Source organism: Homo sapiens, chromosome 2 (genome assembly GCF_000001405.40).
Source record: "Homo sapiens chromosome 2, GRCh38.p14 Primary Assembly".
Classification (NCBI taxonomy): domain Eukaryota; kingdom Metazoa; phylum Chordata; class Mammalia; order Primates; family Hominidae; genus Homo; species Homo sapiens.
The window spans coordinates 197,596,958-197,616,568 of NC_000002.12; the positions used below are offsets into that span (position 1 = coordinate 197,596,958).

Here is a 19,611-nt window from a genome sequence, read left to right on the forward strand (position 1 = left end):
GATTTATGGGGAGGAGTGTCTGTAGCTAATGTTGCTCAGTTACGACTTTTATTATGCAAAAAACCCCAACAAAACCTTACTATTAGCTGCATTTTATGCTGAGCCCTTTTTCTGGAAAATGAATGCAACACTGAAACTCTGGCTTTAGAGTTATATGTCAACTGCATACCATTTGAAAATCCCAGCCTTACTGATACCACTGAATTTTGAGAAATATCAAATCTTCCTCAAAGTGATAACAGGAGACTGCTTCTTTTTTATTTTTGAAAGGCTGTTTCTAGTCTAATCTCATTCCATTTTGACCTTATCTTTGATTGGAACAAAAAACTTTTATAAAATATGTAGTAACTTTGGGAACAAATCATCATGAGGCTTTGGTACACGGGCGGGATTAGCATGTGTACAGAAAAAGCTGGTCACATGTTTTGGGAGCATGAAGTGTGCTGGAAAAAGCCATGGCTTTGGAACCAGACAGTTCCTGGGTTCAAATCCAAACTCTGTCATAGTACCTAATAGCTGACGCCTTTAATCATTTAATCCGTAAATTGTGTTTTCTTTTTCTTTCTTTCTTTTTTTTTTGAGATGGAGTTTTGCTTTTGTTGCCCAGGCTGAAGTGCAGTGGCGTGATCTCGGCTCACCGCAACGTCACCTCCTGGGTTCAAGTGATTCTCCTCCCTCAGCCTTCCGAGTAGCTGGGATCACAGGCATGTACCACCACACTGGTCTAATTTTGTATTTTTAGCAAAGACGGGGTTTCTCCATGTTGGTCAGGCTGGTCTCAAACTCCCGACCTCAGGTGATCCGCCTGCCTTGGCCTCCCAAAGTGCTGGGATTACAGGTGTGAGCCACTGCGCCCAGCCTCTCTGATTTTTTTCTATCAGGGACCTCAATAAGTGATAAGTGAAGAATAAGAGTGCATGAAGAGCCTCCCATTGTGCTTGCCACAAGAAGGAACACAACAACTGTGATTTCCTTCCACTTTTCCATTCATTTAGTGAAATATAGGGTGCAGTTAAGGGAAGGGGAGAAAAGTTTCAGAATCAAGAATATCTTCCAGAGAGCAAATTCAAGGGACAGCAGGACATGGTGGTTCATGCCTGTAATCCTAGCACTTTGTGAAGCTGATGGAGGAGGATCCCTTGAGCCCAGGAGTTTGAGACTAGTCTGGGAAACATACTGAGACTCTTGTATCTACAAAATCATTAAAAGAAAATTATCCAAGTGTGGTGGTACATGCCTGTGGTCCCAGCTACTCGGGAGGCTGAGGTAGGAGGATCACTTGAGCCCAGAGGTTGAGGGTGCAGTGAGCTATTGATCACGCCACTGAACTCTACCATGGGTGACAGAAAGAGAACCTATCTTAAAAGAAAGAAAAGTAAAGAAAAAAGAAAAACAAATTCAAGGGACAGGGTACGTGGGAATGCAGAAGAGACCTTCTGGGTAATGTTCCAGGTGTGTGATCCAGGTGGAGAATTACATGAAAGAACCAGGTCTGGAACGATCCGAAGATGGGAAGCAGGGATCAGGGTAGAATTATTCTTCTTGAAGAGAAAGCAGGAACGCATTGGGGTAGGGATTGTTGGAGACCTTACAGGGAGTTCTTTCACACTAACTGTGGATGGGGCAATTCTGAATGCACTAAGATCTGATGTTTGACCTACGGCAGGCTTTACAAACTTTACCGTGCATTCCAAACATTGAGGTGCCTGTTGATTCCAGGGTCCACTCCAGTCTTTTGGAATCTCCATTTCACCAGGCTGCCCAGGTGGCCCTGATGCACAGTAAATTTGGGAACCATCACCAGAAGAGACAGACTTGGAAGTGTGGACTTCTCAGGCCTTGGGGATTACTTGGTGATACTTGCTACTATCAAAGGCATTCACTGTTTTCCTTGAATAATAAAACCCACCAACAGTTCCTGTTGGTATGGAGTGTGGAAACAAAAAGGGCTTATTTTCTGGAAGCATCCTTGATGTCTATTTTACCATATTCTTCTTCTTCTTTTTTTTTTTTTGACGGAGTCTCGCTCTGTCGCCCAGGCTGGAGTGCAGTGGCACGACCTCGGCTCACTGCAAGCTCCGCCTCCCGGGTTCACGCCATTTTCCTACCTCAGCCTCCCGAGTAGCTGGGACTACAGGCACCCACCACCATGCCCGGCTCATTTTTTGTATTTTTAGTAGAGACAGGGTTTCACCGTGGACTCGATCTCCTGACCTTGTGATCCGCCCACCTCGGCCTCCCAAAGTGCTGGGATTACAAGCGTGAGCCACCGCGCCCAGCCTTACCATATTCTTCTAATGTGACTTGTGTCCTTAAATGTTTTGGACAATTTTAGCTGGATAGGCTGCCTAGAGCCATGCTGAGGACACATATTTTTCACCATCTTTAGTTTACCAATTTATTCCTGACCTGACTTGTCTAAAATATAAACGAATTTGGAATGTGGGCGAGGAGTTACTTACTCCCTCTGCAGTGTGACACAATTTCTGGCAGCAACCCCAAATTATGAAAGAGTATCTCTACCAGCGGATCCCGAGGCAGTGTGAGAAGGAGAAAGAGGAAGGAGGTGGCTTATCAAAGGCTCGGTGGGTTGGAGGTGGAGGTAGGTGGGTTAGGGGTGTATGTCAAGGAAAAAAGTCCTCAGATGGTGTGAAGTACACTGCTCGATCCTGGGTTGAGAATCATTGCCTGTATGTTTGAAATAGGATTCTCTCTGCCAGCGTTCTACTTGATATTTAACACAGTATGCAGAGAGGTGAAACATGTGGCACAGGGGAGGGCGAACCCTCCACAGCTACTTCAGTGAGGCAAGAGCACTGTCAAACCTATCCCTCCTGTGGTGTGAAGGGGAATTGCCTCTGAAAGGGCAGAAGCTTTTTAAGCACGAGCTTGATTTTATTTTATATTTTATTTTTTTTGAGGCGGAGTCTCCACTCTGTTGCCCAGGCTGGAGTGCAGTGGTATGATCTGGGCTCACTGCAACCTCTGCCTTTCGGGTTCAAGGGATTCTCCTGCCTCATCGTCCCAAGTAGCTGGGATTACAGGCACACACCACCACATCTGGCTTTTTTTTGTATTTTTAGTAGAGATGGGGTTTCACCATGCTGGCCAGGCTGGTCTTGAACTCCTGATATCAGGTGATCCACCTGCCTCGGCCTCCCAAAGTGCCAGGATTACAGGCATGAGCCACCTCGCCTGGCCTAAGCACGAGCTTTAAAACTGTTCGGTTGAAACTGACGAGTAATGCCTTCCAGTGGCCCTATGGGGAGTGCTGTTTGGGGAGTCTAATGAGATAAAACAGCAAACATGGAGATGGTTTGTCAAAGGCTGACAACTTTAGACAGCATCCAGATGCTCAAATAAGACTTTGGAAGGTCAGCATCTGCCTACCTCTTGGGGACGTCCTCATAGTCAGATCCTTAATTTGAGATATGTCGGAAACTTCTATGTCCCTGGTTTTCTGAGGGCCATTTTGATTTAAAATAGGTCCTGCTACTTTCAGACCAGCTGTGAGACCATGTGGAACTTGTTTTGGTTTCGAGGCTCTAATCACGGTAGACCTAAGGGAAAGAGGTCTGAAGCCTTATAGAGGGACGCCTATTTGGTAAAGCAAGTAAGTCCCTTATGGTTCTCAGTGGTTCCTGAGATAATTCTATTTACAGAATTGGGATAGAATATTTTTCCCTTAGCAAACTGGTGGTCATTATGGCACCTGAGAGGATGTTTCAAATGCCCTGGATGGTTTCAGAGGACAGAGCCCACATCTCTTATTCCCTACAAAAAGGTTCATCCAAAAGGTGCTGTTAGTTAAGTAAGTGACTTAGTATCTTCCTGAGAGGGATTTAAGAATCTTCTGGTTCTGTTTTAGACTTTAATGGACAGTCATGCTTTGATGTATTAGAAAACAAAGGCAACTTTGGAAAATATGCTTGATTTAGAGATAGTAATTTAAATTCTGAAAAAGTTCTAGTACAAACTGTTTTGGTGACAAGTATAGAGAACAGTCTACAGAGAAGTGATGAGAACATTGACTAGTCCCTTCATCTCTGAGGGCAGCAGATGATCCCTGGTGCTGTGGTCAGCACGAGGGCACAGGCTGCATGAAGGACAGGTCAGCCAGGGCAGGCTGAGTTCTCTGCAGGCAGAAGTGGTTGAACATTGTCAATGAGATAGTAGATGTAAAGTTCCTACACCCTGGATATGGACCCTGGAGCATAGGAGATGCTCAGAAATGTTTCCTTTTCTCTTCCCTGCCTTCTTCTATGCATTTCATAAGAAAGCACAAAGAAGATTCTATGTGAATGTCATTTGAGGGAGAGGGATTTGCTGTGACAACAGCATGACTATCAAGAAGATTGGGTCTTCCCACTAACAGAAGATCTCTTGGACTAAACTAATAAAAACAACTTTGACTCCTGTAGTGCTCTCAGCGTTCCAAGTCCTTTCTGTGTACATTAACATGCTTGTTTCTTATGATAATCCTTTAAGGTGTGCAGAGCAGACATTTTCTCTATTTTATGGATAGGGAAATTGAGACTCAGCTTTTAAGACCTTTGTCTTGGGTCTCCTCTAGTTCCCACTCTTTCTACAATACTGCATTAGCTCTACAAGCAAATGTAGAGTGACTACATTTGCTTGTAGAGCTCACTGAAGCCCTGACTACAGGAAGATGTGGGTTAGTTTAATTCTATTCTGACTAGAAAACTTTATAATTAGTGGATAAGTCTAAGCTTATTTTACCAAATTCCAGATTTTTATTTAGCATCCTAAATTAAGCATTCCACCTTATAATGTTCAGAAGTTATAGTGGAGAATAATGAAGAAAATAAACACAAATGTTCATTTTTCTTGGGCCAATTAGACTACTTAAGCAAACCACACAGGTCCTGATGTTAGTGTGGCAAACGGAAGAAGAGACAGGAGCAAGTTCATGATCCGTGGTATTAAAGTGTGACATAAAAGATTAATCATTGAAAGCTTTGCCTTAAAATTCCCCCAAATGAATTCAGTTTTGTTCAACAGTGACTAGTACTAGTTGTAAAAACAAACAAGCAACAAAAATGAAACTAAAAAAAAGTTCTATTTATAGTTTGACACTATCTTTTTTTTATTATTATTATTATTTTGAGATGGAGTCTTGCTCTGTCACCCAGGCTGGAGTGCAGTGGCGTGATCTTGGCTCACCGCAACCCCCACCTTGTGGGTTCAAGTGATTCTCCTGCCTCAGCCTCCCAAGTAGCTGGGACTACAGGCGTGCGCCATTATGCCTGGCTAATTTTTTTTTTGTGTTTTTAGTAGAGACAGGGTTTCACTGTGTTGGCCAGGCTGGTCTCAAACTCCTTACCTCAGGTGATCTGTCTGCCTTGGCCTCCCAAAGTGCTGGGATTACTGGTGTGAGTCACTGCCCCCAGCTGATAATTAAATTAAAAAAATTTTTTTGTAGGAAGTTACAAGGACAACTTGAACTTCTTCTTGGTTCAATATGTGCCCATAATTTCAAGCATCTTTGAGAGCTATAGTACTTAGAATTTATGGATAGGTGGGAGAAAGTTGTTCTACATTCTTTAAGATATAAAAGCCAAGATCTTTTTTTTTTTGGTGAGATGGAGTCCTGCTCTGTTGCCAGGCTAGAGTGCAGTGACGTGATCTTGGCTCACTGCAACCTCTGTCTCCCAGGTTCAAGTGATCCTCCTGCCTTAGCCTCCTGAGTAGCTGGGACTACAGGTGTGCGCCACCACCATTTGACCCAGTCATCCCATTACTGGGTATATACCCAAAGGATTATAAATCATGCTGCTATAAAGACACATGCACACGTATGTTTATCGCGGCACTATTCACAATAGCAAAGACTTGGAACCAACCCAAATGTCCAAAAATGATAGACTGGATTAAGAAAATGTGGCACATATATGCCATGGAATACTATGCAACCATAAAAAATGATGAGTTCATGTTCTTTGTAGGGACATGGATGAAGCTGGAAACCATCATTCTCAGCAAACTATCACAAGGACAAAAAACCAAACATAGCATGTTCTCACTCATAGGTGGGAATTGAACAATAAGAACACATGGACATAGGAACGGGAACATCACACAGTGGGGACTGTTGTGGGGTGCAGGGAGTGGGGAGAGATAGCATTAGGAGATATACCTAATGCTAAATGATGAGTTAATGGGTGCAGCACACTAACATGGCACATGTATACATGCACGTTGTGCACATGTACCCTAAAACTTAAAGTATAATAATAAAAAAAGTCTCATATTTTAAAATAATTCACTCTTTCCTTTCTACACTAACTTCAATGAAGGGAGAGATTTCTTAAACAATATACTAAAAAGGGTAAAGATAGGTACATTTGTCGATTTTAAAATTAAAACCTTTTGTTAATTAAAGACATCATAGAGTAAAAAGACAAGCCACAGAATTAGTGAAGATAATTGCAGCATGCATAACAAATAAAGGACTCTTTATCTGTTATATTTAAGTAAGTTATAGGTAGAGATTTTTTAAATTTAAATTTAAATTTTGTATAGAGATGGGGGTCTTGCTATGTTGCCCAGGCTGGTCTTGAATTCCTGGGCCCAAGCTATCCTCCCAGCTTAGTCTCCCAAAGGGCTGAGATTACAGGTGTGAGCCACTGTGCCTGGCCTTATGAATAGAACTTTAGGCCGGGTGTGGTGGCTCACGCCTGTAATCCCAGCACTTTGGGAGGTGAGGCAGGCGGATCTCTGGAGGTCAGGAGTTCGAGACCAGCCTGGCTAACATGGTGAAACTCCGTCTCTACTAAAAAAACTACAAAGAAAAACAAAATTAGCCAGGCATGGTGGTGGGTGCCTGTAATCCCAGCTACTTGGGAGACTGAGGCAGAAGAATCGCTTGAACCCGGGAGGTGGAGGTTGCAGTGAGCCAAGATCATGCCCCTGCACTCCAGTCTGGGCTACAGAGTGAGACTCTGTCTCAAAAAAGCAAAAACAAAAAACAAAAAAACATAGAATTTTAAATGTGGGCAAAAAGACAGGTACTTTATGAAAGAAAAATCCAAGTGGCCAATAAACATATGTAAATGTGCTCAATCTCAGCAAGTAATTAGGAAACTACAAATGAAAGTCACACTGAGATCACACTACATACTCTCGATCAAAATGGCAAAATTTAAAAGTATGATAATATTTTGTGTTGAGACAATGGTGACTCTGACACTCTGCTAGTAGGAGTGTACATGGAAACAATCTATTTGAAAAGAATCTGGTATTTATCTAACAAAGCTAAAGAAGTGCCCTATGACCCAGCAATTCTGCTTCTAGAAACTCACACATGTGTGCACCAAGATCTCTGCTCATACTCAGAACAGCATTGTTTGTCATAGCCAACAACTGGAGACAGCAAACCACCAGCAGCTGAATGGACACATACATAGTAGAATGAATAAATAAACTGCTGCACACGGCATAGGTAAAACTTACAATGTTAAGTGAAAGCAGCAACACATAAAAGAATATATATGATATGATTCCATTCATATAAAGTTAAAAAACAGGCAAAACTAAACTGTATTGTTTAGGGATTCATACATAAGTGGTAAAACTATTAGGCAAGCAAGGATATGACTATCCTAAAAGTGGGGATAATGTTATCTCTGTGTGGAGGAAGTGAATGTGATGGGGAGACACATGAGGTGCTTCTAGGGTGTGGGTGATATTCTATTTTTTTGGCCAGCTGTGATGACACAGGTCTTTGTGCATAATTATGCACATTTGTGTTTTATGCACATTCTATTTATTTATTTATTTATTTATTTATTTATTTATTTTGAGACAGAGCCTCACTCTGTTGCCCAGGCTGGAGTGCAGTGGTGCAATCTTGGCTTACTGCAACCTCTGCCTCCTGGGCTCAAGCGATTCTCATGCCTCAGCCTCCCAAGTAGGTGTGACCACAGGCATGTGACACCATGCCCGGCTAATTTTTGTATTTTTAGTACAGACAGGGTTTTGCCATGTTGGCCAGGCTGGTCTTGAACTCCTGACCTCAGGTGACCCATCTGGGCCTCCCAAAGTGCTGGGATTATAGATGTCAGCCACCACACCCAGCGTGTGTTTTATGCACTTTCTATATGAGTGTTTTATATCACAAAAATTGTTTTAAAATAGTATATTTAAGGGTGACATGTAGAAGAATAGTTGTAGATTTATACATGATAAAAAAGCTCCCTCCCCCTTTACATTTATTCTTTTGGAAAAATCAGTCTTGAATTTGTTGGGTTTTTTTTTTTGAGACGGAGTCTGGCTCTGTCTTCCCAGGCTAGAGTGCACGCAATCTCGGCTCACTGCCAGCTCCGCCTCCCGGGTTCACGCCATTCTCTTGCCTCAGCCTCCCAAGTAGCTGGGACTACAGGCGCCCGCCACCACGCCCGGCTAATTTTTTGTATTTTTAGTAGAGACGGGGTTTCACTGTGTTAGCCAGGATGATCTCGATCTCCTGACCTCATGATCCGCCCGCCTTGGCCTCCCAAAGTGCTGAGATTACAGGCGTGAGCCACCGCGCCTGGCCGAATTTGTTGGGTTTTAAATGAGAAGTTTTTAGGAATTCATTCACCTGAATTCACTCTTCTTTAAATATATCCTGCACTTTTCTGACATTGCTTTGCTTAAGGTTGCCAGAGAAAGCAAATAATCTGTGGTATTCATACTGCAACGTCCGCTCCCATGCACATAGTAGACATCACTAATTGAATGCCACATTTTTTTTGCTGAGCTGGTTCTAGTCTCAGAATCCTTATTGCAGCGTTCCAGGCAGCCACTACCAACAGATTAGTGCTGGTATCTTAGAGGAAAATCATTTACTATTCCAAGTTAGCCCTATCTGCCACAAGGAATACTTTTCCTTTCTAAAACTGCTTTTGGAAGCACTATTCTTTCATCACGGTGCCCCCTCAGACATCATGAGCTTCACAGACCTGCCCTCCTCCTTTATTGATTCCTCTACCATATTCACCTGCCTTATAGTCAACTCTTTTTTCATTATTGCTTCCCTGAGGAGCAATATTCAGATATTTTCCCCCTAATATCTCCCCATTAAATTTTAATACCAAAGATATGCTGTATATCTGTGTATATACTGTGTGGCCTTTTGGAGGGCCACAAACCATTGTAATAGCTGAGACTTTTTTCACCCCCTCACACTCTCAATAACCAATTTTCATCATCTTGGGGACATATCACTCCCGTTGAGAATACATGCTCTAGACCTTCATGGCAGGACCTGTCATGAACTGGTTTGTTTCTCAAAGCAGAGTATGAGTTCCTGTATGTCTGCCCCTAGAGTGGGTAAAATACTGTCTTGCACATATTAGGCACTCAAGAAATATTTGAGTTGAACAGAAAGAACATTCTTGTTAAAATAAATGCATGAATCTGTATCAGTTTCAATACAACTAAGCCAGTTTCAAAAGAGTGGGTTTATCTGTAACTGCTCAGTCACTTGTGAAATACACTCTCATAAAAAGCTTTCATTTGGGATCTAATTAAACTAAACAGCTTCTGCACAGCAAAAGAAACTACCATCAGAGTGAACAGGCAACCTACAAAATGGGAGAAAATTTTCGCAACCTACTCATCTGACAAAGGACTAATATCCAGAATCTACAATGAACTCAAACAAATTTACAAGAAAAAAACAAACAACCCCATCAAAAAGTGGGCGAAGGATATGAACAGACACTTCTCAAAAGAAGACATTTATGCAGCCAAAAAACACATGAAAAAATGCTCATCATCACTGGCCATCAGAGAAATGCAAATCAAAACCACAATGAGATACCATCTCACACCAGTTAGAATGGCAATCATTAAAAAGTCAGGAAACAACAGGTGCTGGAGAGGATGTGGAGAAATAGGAACACTTTTACACTGTTGGTGGGACTGTAAACTAGTTCAGCCATTGTGGAAGTCAGTGTGGCGATTCCTCAGGGATCTGGAACTAGAAATACTATTTGACTCAGCAATCCCATTACTGGGTATATACCCAAAGGATTATAAATCATGCTGCTATAAAGACACATGCACACGTATGTTTATTGTGGGACTATTCACAATAGCAAAGACTTGGAACCAACCCAAATGTCCAACAATGATAGACTGGATTAAGAAAATGTGGCACATATACATCATGGAATACTATGCAGCCATAAAAAATGATGAGTTCATGTTCTTTGTAGGGACATGGATGAAACTGGAAATCATCATTCTTAGCAAACTATTGCAAGGACAAAAAACCAAACACCGCATGTTCTCACTCACAGGTGGGAATTGAACAACGAGAACACATGGACACAGGAAGGGGAACATCACACTCTGGGGACAGTTGTGGGGTGGAGGGAGGGGGCAGGGATAGCATTAGGAGATATACCTAATGCTAAATGACGAGTTAATGGGTGCAGTACACCAACATGGCACATGTATACATATGTAACAAACCTGCACATTGTGCACATGTGCCCTAAAACTTGAAGTATAATAATAATAATAATAATAATAATAATAAAGCTTTCATTTATAGTTCCAAAATTCATTAGACTAGAAGAAATAGAATTGTTAATTTGTATTTTATGTTAACTTTTGCTTCATCTTACACATTAATTAATTGTCGTGGCTTAACATTTGCAACTCAAAAGTAAATGAGTTAATTCTTGCTTTTGAAAACTGAAATAAAATTTTGCTTTTTAAAAGGAAAATTATAAAATTAAATTTTGGCTTCCAACTTTGCAGCTATGTGCTTAGTCACAAAGTTCCTTTGCCTATGACCCTGAATTTGTTTCTCAGGTATCAGTATGTGTTAAAAACAAAGAAAAGGGCACTGCTACAGTTTAGTTGTCCCAACTCCTCCTCACCCCACAAAATGTTTAACATTTATGTTCAGATGAGAAAGAGCGATGGTAACTGGAAGTATATATAATAGACAAAATTGATTATTTTAAGAATGTGGCCTTATCAAAATACTGCTCACAGCAAGATTACTATGAGTTTAACTCATGATGGAATTACATGACACTGTTTCTGCAAAATTTAAATTAGTAAGAGCAGAGAACTGCATTAGAATGGGCCAAATCCTAACCTCTCCCTCAACTGCATGTATATAAATGTGCAACATCTGCTTTGGCTGCCACATGAAGATTGAGATTGAGATTGGGACTCCACAGACTTCCAGTGCTTCTGAGCTGTGATGCCCATGAGGCTGTTGGGCCTGTTCTACAGGGGCTGCAGAAAATGGAAGAGGGGAGCAGAGCTCAGCATCACAGTGAGAAGACCAATTTCTCTTGTTATTCACATCTTGTCCTTAGGGACCAGATTTTTTTTTTTTTTTTTTTGAGACAGAGTCTCACTCTGTTACCCAGGCTGGCGTGCAGTGGCATGATGTTGGCTCACTGCAACCCCTGCCTCCCTGGTTCAAGTGATTCTCGTGCCTCAGCCTCCTGGGTAGCTGGAACTACAGGTGCACACCACCACGCGCAGCTAATTTTTTTGTATTTTTAGTAGAGATGGGGTTTCACCATGTTAGCTAGGCTGGTCTCAAACTCCTGACCTCAAGTGATCTGCCTTCTTTGGCCTCCCAAAGTGATAGGATTACAGGCATGAGCCACTGTTCCTGGCTGGGACCAGACTTTTTTTTTTTTTTTTTTTTTTTTAATACTTTAAGTTCTGGGGTACATGTGCACAACGTGCAGGTTTGTTACACAGGTATAAGTGTGCCATGTTGGTTTGCTGCACCCGTCAAATCATCATTTACATTAGGTATTTCTCCTAATGCTATCCCTCCCCCAGCTCCCCACCCCACAACAGGCCCCAGTGTGTGATGTTCCCCTCCCTGTGTCCAAGTGTTCTCATTGTTCAACTCCCACTTATTAGTGAGAACATGCGATGTTTGGTTTTCTCTTCTTGTGTTACTTTACTGAGAATGATGGTTTCCAGTTTCATCTGTGTCCCTGCAAAGGACATGAACTCATCCTTTTTTTATGGCTGCATAGCATTGCATGGTGTTTATGTGTCACAACTTCTTTATCCAGTTTATCATTAATGGGCATTTGGGTTGGTACCAAGATTTTGCTATTGTGAAGAGTGCCACAATAAACATATGTGTGCGTGTGTCTTTATAGTAGTATGATTTAGAATCCTTTGGGCATATAACCAGTAATGGGATCACTGCGTCAAATGGTATTTCTAATTCTAGATCCTTGAGGAATCGCCACACTGTCTTCCACATGGTTGAACTAATTTACACTCCCACCAACAGTGTAAAAGTGTCCCTATTTCTCCACATCTTCTCCAGCATCTGTTGTTTCTTGAATTTTTAATGATCACCATTCTAACTGGCATGAGATGGTATCTCATTATGCTTTTGATTTGCATTTCTATAATGACCAGTGATGATGAGCATTTTTTCATAAGTTTGTTGGCTACATAAATGTCTTCTTTTGAGAAGTGTCTGTTCATATCCTTCACCCATTTTTTGATGGGGTTGTTTGTTTTTTCTTATAAATTTGTTTAAGTTCTTTGCAGATTCTGGATATTAGCCCTTTGTCAGATGGATAGATTGCAAAAATTTTCTCCCAATCTGTAAGTTGCCTGTTCACTCTGCTGATAGTTTCTTTTGCTGTGCAGAAGCACTTTAGTTTAATTAGATCCCGTTTGTCTATTTTGGCTTTTGGTGTTTTAGTCATGAAGTCTTTGCCCATGCCTATGTCCTGAGTGGTATTGCCCAGGTTTTCTTCTAGGGTTTTTATGGTTTTAGGTGTTACATGTAAGTCTTTAATCCATCTTGAGTTAATTTTTGTATAAGATGTAGGGAAGGGATCCAGTTTCAGCTTTCTGCATATGGCTAGCCAGTTTTCCCAGCACCATTTATTAAATAGGGAATCCTTTCCCCACTGCTTGTTTTTGTCAGGTTGTTAAAGATCAGATGGTTGTAGATGTGTGGTGTTATTTCTAAGGCCTCTGTTCTGTTCCATTGGTCTATATATCTGTTTTGGTACCAGTACCATGCTGTTTTGGTTACTGTAGCCTTGTAGTATAGTTTGAAGTCAGGTAGCGTGATGCCTCAGCTTTGTTCTTTTGGCTTAGGATTTTCTTGGCAATGTGGGCTCTTTTTTGGTTCCATATGAACTTTAAAGTAGTTTTTTCCAATTCTGTGAAGAAAGTCATTGATAGCTTGATGGGGATGGCATCGAATCTGTAAATTACCTTGGGCAGTATGGCCATTTTCACTATATTGATTCTTCCTATCCATGAGCATGGAATGTTCTTCCATTTGTTTGTGTCCTCTTTTATTTCCTTGAGCAGTGATTTGTAGATCTCCTTGAAGAGGTCCTTCACATCCCTTGTAAGTTGGATTCCTAGGTATTTTATTCTCTTTGTAGCAATTGTGAATGGGAGTTCACTCATGATTTGGCTCTCTGTCTGTTATTGGTGTATAGGAATGCTTGTTATTTTTGCACATTGATTTTGTATCCTGAGACTTTTCTGAAGTTGCTTATCAGCTTAAGGAGATTTTGGGCTGAGACAATGGGGTTTTCTAAATATACAATCATGTCTTCTGCACACAGAGACAATTTGACCTCCTCATTTCCTAATTGAATACCCTTTATTTCTTTCTCTTGCCTGATTGCCCTGGCCAGAACTTCCAACACTATGTTGAATAGGAGTGGTGAGAGAGGGCATCCTTGTCTTGTGCTAGTTTTCAAAGGGAATGCTTCCAGTTTTTGCCCATTCAGTATGATATTGGCTGTGGGTTTGTCACAAATAGCTCTTATTATTTTGAGATATGTTCTATCAATACCTAGTTTATTGAGAGTTTTTAGCATGAAGTGCTGTTGAATTTTGTCAAAGGCCTTTTCTACATCTATTGAGATAATCATGTGTTTTTTGTCATTGGTTCTGTTTATGTGATGGATTACATTTATTGATTTGTGTATGTTGAACCAGCCTTGCATCCCAGGGATGAAGCCGACTTGATTGTGGTGGATAAGCTTTTTGATGTGCTGCTGGATTCGGTTTGCCAGTATTTTATTGATGAGCTTCATATCATTGTTCATCAGGGATATTGGCCTAAAATATTCTTTTTTTGTTGTGTCTCTGCCAGGTTTTGGTATCAGGATGATGCTGGCCTCAAAAATGAGTTAGGGGGGAGTCCCTCTTTTTCTGTTGATTGAGATAATTTCAGAAGGAATGGTACCAGCTCCTCTTTGTACCTCTGGTAGAATTTGGCTGTGAATCCGTCTGGTCCTGGACTTTTTTTGGTTGGTACGCTATTAATTATTGCCTCAATTTCAGAACCTGTTAGTGGTCTAGTCAGAGATTCAACTTCTTCCTGGTTTAGTCTTGGGAGGGTGTATGTGTCCAGGAAGTCATCCCTTTCTTCTAGATTTTCTAGTTTATTTGCATAGAGGCGTTTATAGTATTCTCTGATAGTAGTTTGTATTTCTGTGGGATCGGTAGTGATATCCCCTTTATCATTTTTATTGCGTCTATTTGATTCTTCTCTCTTTTCTTCTTTATTAGTCTGGCTAGTGGTCTATGTATTTTGTTGGTCTTTTCAAAAAACCAGCTCCTGGATTCATTGACTTTTTGAAGGGTTTTTTGTGTCTCTATCTCCTTCATTTCTGCTCTGATCTTAGTTATTTCCTGTCTTCTGCTAGCTTTTGAATGTGTTTGCTCTTGCTTCTTTAGTTCTTTTAATTGTGATGTTAGAGTGCCAATTTTAGATCATTCCTGCTTTCTCTTGTGGGCATTTAGTGCTATAAATTTCCCTCTACACATTGCTTTAAATGTGTCCCATATATTCCGGTATGTTGTGTCTTTGTTCTCATTGGTTTCAAAGAACATCTTTATTTCTGCCTTCGTTTTGTTATTCACCCAACAGTCAATAAGGAGCAGGGTGTTCAGTTTCCATGTAGTTGTGCAGTTTTGAGTGAGTTTCTTAATCCTGAGTTCTAATTTGATTGCACTGTGGTCTGAGAGACAGTTTGTTGTGATTTCTGTTCTTTTACATTTGCTGAGGAGTGCTTTACTTCCAAACATGTGTTCAATTTTAGAATAAGTGTGATGTGCTGAGAAGAATGTATATTCTGTAGATTTGGGGTGGAGAGTTCTGTAGGTGTCTATTAGGTTCACTTGAGGATGAGGTTTTTTAATGTTCTTGGTATAGTACAACTTGATTCAGCTGGACCAAAAGTCCCCTGCCTTTAAATTCTGCCTTCTGGATATAAATGAGTGCATGTCTTTCTTCTATCCTGTGTTCTAAAGTTCTCTCTCTCTCACCCCCTCCCTTACCCTCACTTTCTCTCTCTCAGTGTAAGGTTAGAATTCAGTGTTTCTGAAAGTGCATAAAAATTGCTTTGGGATTCCTGTTACAATGCACATTCCTGCCCACACTCCAGAATTGGAGAGGGGAGCCATGCTGCTGTTTTGAGGTAGCCAAACAGAGGGAACTTTAGCTCCTCCTTCTCCTTTATTTTGGTGGTTTAACAATATTAGCTGCTAACTCAGCTGGTTTGGTCCTCCACCAAATTTGCTCTGAAGAGTTACTGTCAACTTTCACCTTGAACTCTTGAAGGAAAAAGGATTGAGCCCATTGGTATTATTAATAGTGATAACAATTAAGAAGGGATTCTGGCATGTTTTCAGGACCAACAACAATAACTCTGGAATAATGTGGTGATATAAGATTACAGCATCATGACGTTTCCATGGTAATGCAGCTTTAAACCCTAGTGGTGTGATATTGCCTAGGGTAATTGAAGCAACAACTTTAACCTAGGGACGTACTGTATGTATGTAATCCAATAACAGGATATATTTGAGTGAGGGAAAAACAGCTTATATATAGGCCATTCAAGTATGGCTTAGGTGACAGAAGAGTAGGGAGAATGTTGAAATTACTTAAGACTCTGTTGTTGCATATAAGACAAACACATGTAAGGAAGAATGTTTTCACTGACAGTAATTTTAAGTTATGTTTTCGACATGTGGGCCGCAAAAAGAAGATGATGATAGACATTCTTTTTTCTGGGTGTGAGAATATGTGTAAGAAGATATCTTAATAATGTCATTATGTATTTCTGTTGCTTTTATTATCTTGTCATCTTCAGTGCTGATTTTGTATATAGTGAACTAGAGTATTTACATTTTCTGAAACATCCTGATTTAGGACAGGCCAAGCTACCATCCCTGAACATTGGTTTCAACTTATCAGAAATTTTGGTTCTGCTAAGGATTGCGTCCCAAAACATTAGCCCTAATTCATTAGCTTAATATGCCCAGGCCCTGTATAGGTACTTTGCGTGTATTATCTTAGTCATAGTGATAATCCACTAAAGTTGATATTATTGTCCAATTTTTCAGATAAGGAAATTTATCTTAAAAAGGTTAGATGACTTGCCCAAATCATACAGCTAAACAATGATGAAGCTATAATTAAAACAAGATCTGCTTAGCTCCAAAGCCTGGGCAGCTCATAACCATTCCTCTAGTGTCAGAGACTAAAAACTTCGGGCTCTATCCTCTATTTTGACCAAGGTCAACTGTATATAACACTTTTCTTTATTTGTAAAGATGACATCATTGACCATGATTACTATCGTTGTGTGTACTGAAGCAGCTAAGAACAGCATGTGACTTGTCACAGGGACAGTATATTTGCACAAGAATAAAAAGGCAGAGAATAAACAAGATTTACCAACAATCCTTGTTACCAAATGACCTTCATCCTATATTTCCTGTGTTGCAGGCACTTGGCAGGACTCAAATTACAAAATGCAAAGGAACAAAATAAACACCAATATTGCACAATGCTCCTTGGCATACAAAAGAAGAGTAGACATTGAGAGTTGTAGTGAGCCTTGTTGCATAATGGCAATTAATGTTAAAATTACATTTTTCTGCTATCTTCTATACAGAGTTAGTAGCATCTTCCTAAATGGAAATCTGCTAAATAGTGATGATGCTGCCCTCTAATCTCTTTAGTATTTGATGATCCCATCCAACTTTGACAGTTTAAAATGTCTCTTCTTTTTAATATTCCTACAGAACCTATAGACTAAGACACCTCATCTAGCCCTTGATTAGTTACTGTATTATATTACACAATACATAAGCTTGATCTGCCCTGACCAGAATGTAAGTCCCTTGTTTTGTACATATGAAACGTAAGCTTAACCAGCTCACAAGATCCTTCAGGGCCAGAAACCATGTACAGCTTCCACATATTTTTATTTATTGATTGACTTTTTGCCTTTTAAATTTGATTTTTAAAATTTAAAATTCAGAATGGCGTGGCAGAGATAAGAGAAGGAGCATCTGAATGCTGAGAAGAGTTTGGCTGGAGATGGTTGGAGAGGAGATCGGCTGCTGGACGGTCAAACTCCGGAAGATGATCATCTTCCCACTGCATCCCACCTCTACCCTCAATAAAACCTGCACAATCACTGTCCTCAATTCCCTGTGCAACTTGGTTCTTCCTGGACGCTGGACAAGGACCTAGGTACTGAGAGGACACTGAGCTGGTTAACACTTAAGCCCTCTGCAGATGGCAAAACTAAAAGATCACTGTAACACATGCCTACTTGGGCTTTGGGAGTCACAGGCACCCACCCCTAGACGCTACCATGGGGCCGGAGCCCCACAGCACTCACCCCAGCTCCTGCACCTGCCCATCTGTGTGCTTCCCCTCCTGTAAGTGGTTTGAGCATGCAGAGGGTGAACAAACAAGCCACACCCCTGTCACACATCCTGCAAGGTTGAGGGCGGGGGTGTCATGGAATTCTCCTGTTTTGTGAAGACTGAATCTTGAGAATTATTACTATTCTGTTATTTGACAGATATGTCACAGAGTACAAAAGGCTGGGAAATCATGCTTCAAGGAGTCATCACTCAATTTGAGAACAGTTACTATAGAGCTCTGGGAAGAAAAGTAGATTAATTGCTTTGCTTACTTCAAACATTCCTTTTTTGTTCTTTAAACTTGAGTTTCTTTACTTTATATCCACCTTAATTCCTTTCCCTACCCGAAGAAGGTGTGGCTTTTCAGATAAAGCCATGCCAATCAAAGGTTTTTAAATGTTGTGGGGTACTGGGATACTGGACAGGGCTAAGTTGCTAAACCGGGAAGGCCAGAAAAGGTGAGTGAAGTGGGTTAGACTAAGGAAGGGGAAGTTGCTTTCCTTAGTCACACCTGCAAATCACTCAGAATGTTGAACCATAATTGACTCTGCTAAAAGGGAAGGCCTAGTTGGTACTGTGCTGTCCTCTGCAGGTAGTCACCTGCCCAGGCAGGACAGCCTTAGCAGTCAGTCATTTCCTGGATGCCAAAGCGGGCAGAGGACACATCTCTGGGTCCCAGGAATAGCAAAGCATTTTACATAATGACTTACTTGGTCTCTGTTTCCCTCTCTCAAAAAAGTAAGATTCAATTTTTCCTTTCCAGGAAAGTTAGTAAAAGGAGAAAAGGAAAAGGAAAGTTAGTACTTACAAAATATTGGCATTTGGTTCTAATGTAGGCATTTATTTTAATGGAAACAGCTACCAAGTCCATGTGCCAAGGGGAACTAACTCACCACACTGGAGGGGAGGTGGCAGAAGCGCTCCTCCATCCTGCTCACTCTGGAACCCTACTGTGTCCTAAACCTGGCTGTGGGCTGGGGTGAGAACAGTTTTGGATATGTGCTGCAGAGCCTAACAGCTTATACATCTATAATGCCAAGGACTATATTTACTAACCTCTAAGGTCCATAAAATCAAATTCGAAGCTCAGTGTAATGTTTTCTGTAGGCATTAAACAAATATTTGTTGAATTGAACTATCTAACAGATGAAGTTATATATTAGAATTAAATGATAGTATGTAAGGATACTTTTGCCTTACCTGTCATGTCTCAATACAGGTGTGGGCAACACGCTTGTCAGAAGCCATCCGAATTCAGCCAGAGTGTGCAGCAGAGGGCCATAATCTGTTTTGATTTCACATCCCTGCATGAATAAGTATAAGAGCTCATAGTCTAATGGCAAAGACAACCAACTACACAATTACAACAAAGGGTGATGCGTGTTAGGATGAGGGGAGTTCACTTTCATCCGCTGCAGCCTTCCTGGGCTTCATGTTCTGCTCTGCTTCCTTCTGATAATTGAACCAAGTTAGAAACACTAGTAATGGAGAGAGGTTTCCATCCCGTTGTCTGAAGTTTGGGCCTTCCTTTGGTCTTGTTAGGGCAGTGGTTCTCGAAATTTAATACATGGGGTTGGGGAGCTGGGAATCTGCATTTTATTTTATTTTATTTTATTTTATTTTATTTTATTTTAAAGAGAGGGTCTCATTCCTACATCCAGGCTAGGGTGCAGTGGCACAGTCATAACTCACTTTAACCTCAATCTCCTGGGCTCAAACTATTCTCCTGCCTCTGCCGCCTGAGTAACTGGGACTACAGGTGCATGACACTATGCCTGGTTAATTTTAAAATTTTTTGTAGAGATGGGGTCTCACTATGTTGCCCAGGCTGGTCTTGAACTCCCGGGCTCAAGTTATCCTCCCATTTCACCTTCCTAAAGTGCTGGGGTTACA

At 41.0% G+C, this 19,611-nt stretch overlaps 1 protein-coding gene across 6 annotated transcripts in view, besides 1 other annotated feature; it reads right to left on the reverse strand.

Annotated features, from left to right (window-relative positions):
• Positions 1–19,611, reverse strand: part of RFTN2 (raftlin family member 2) — a 107,364-nt gene that overhangs the window by 28,734 nt on the left and 59,019 nt on the right. For all 6 annotated transcript variants that reach the window (XM_017003332.3, XM_011510598.4, XM_011510597.4 and 3 more), the window contains exon 7: positions 18,919–19,022. In XM_017003332.3, coding sequence (XP_016858821.1) covers positions 18,919–19,022 — 104 coding nt within the window. The remainder of the gene's footprint in view (positions 1–18,918; positions 19,023–19,611) is intronic.
• Positions 9,467–9,616: an enhancer, noted in NCBI's record as "active region_16940". NCBI's record gives its function as "activates an Ori minimal core promoter by ATAC-STARR-seq in GM12878 lymphoblastoid cells {active_cell/tissue: GM12878}" and the evidence as "EXISTENCE:reporter gene assay evidence [ECO:0000049][PMID:35858748]".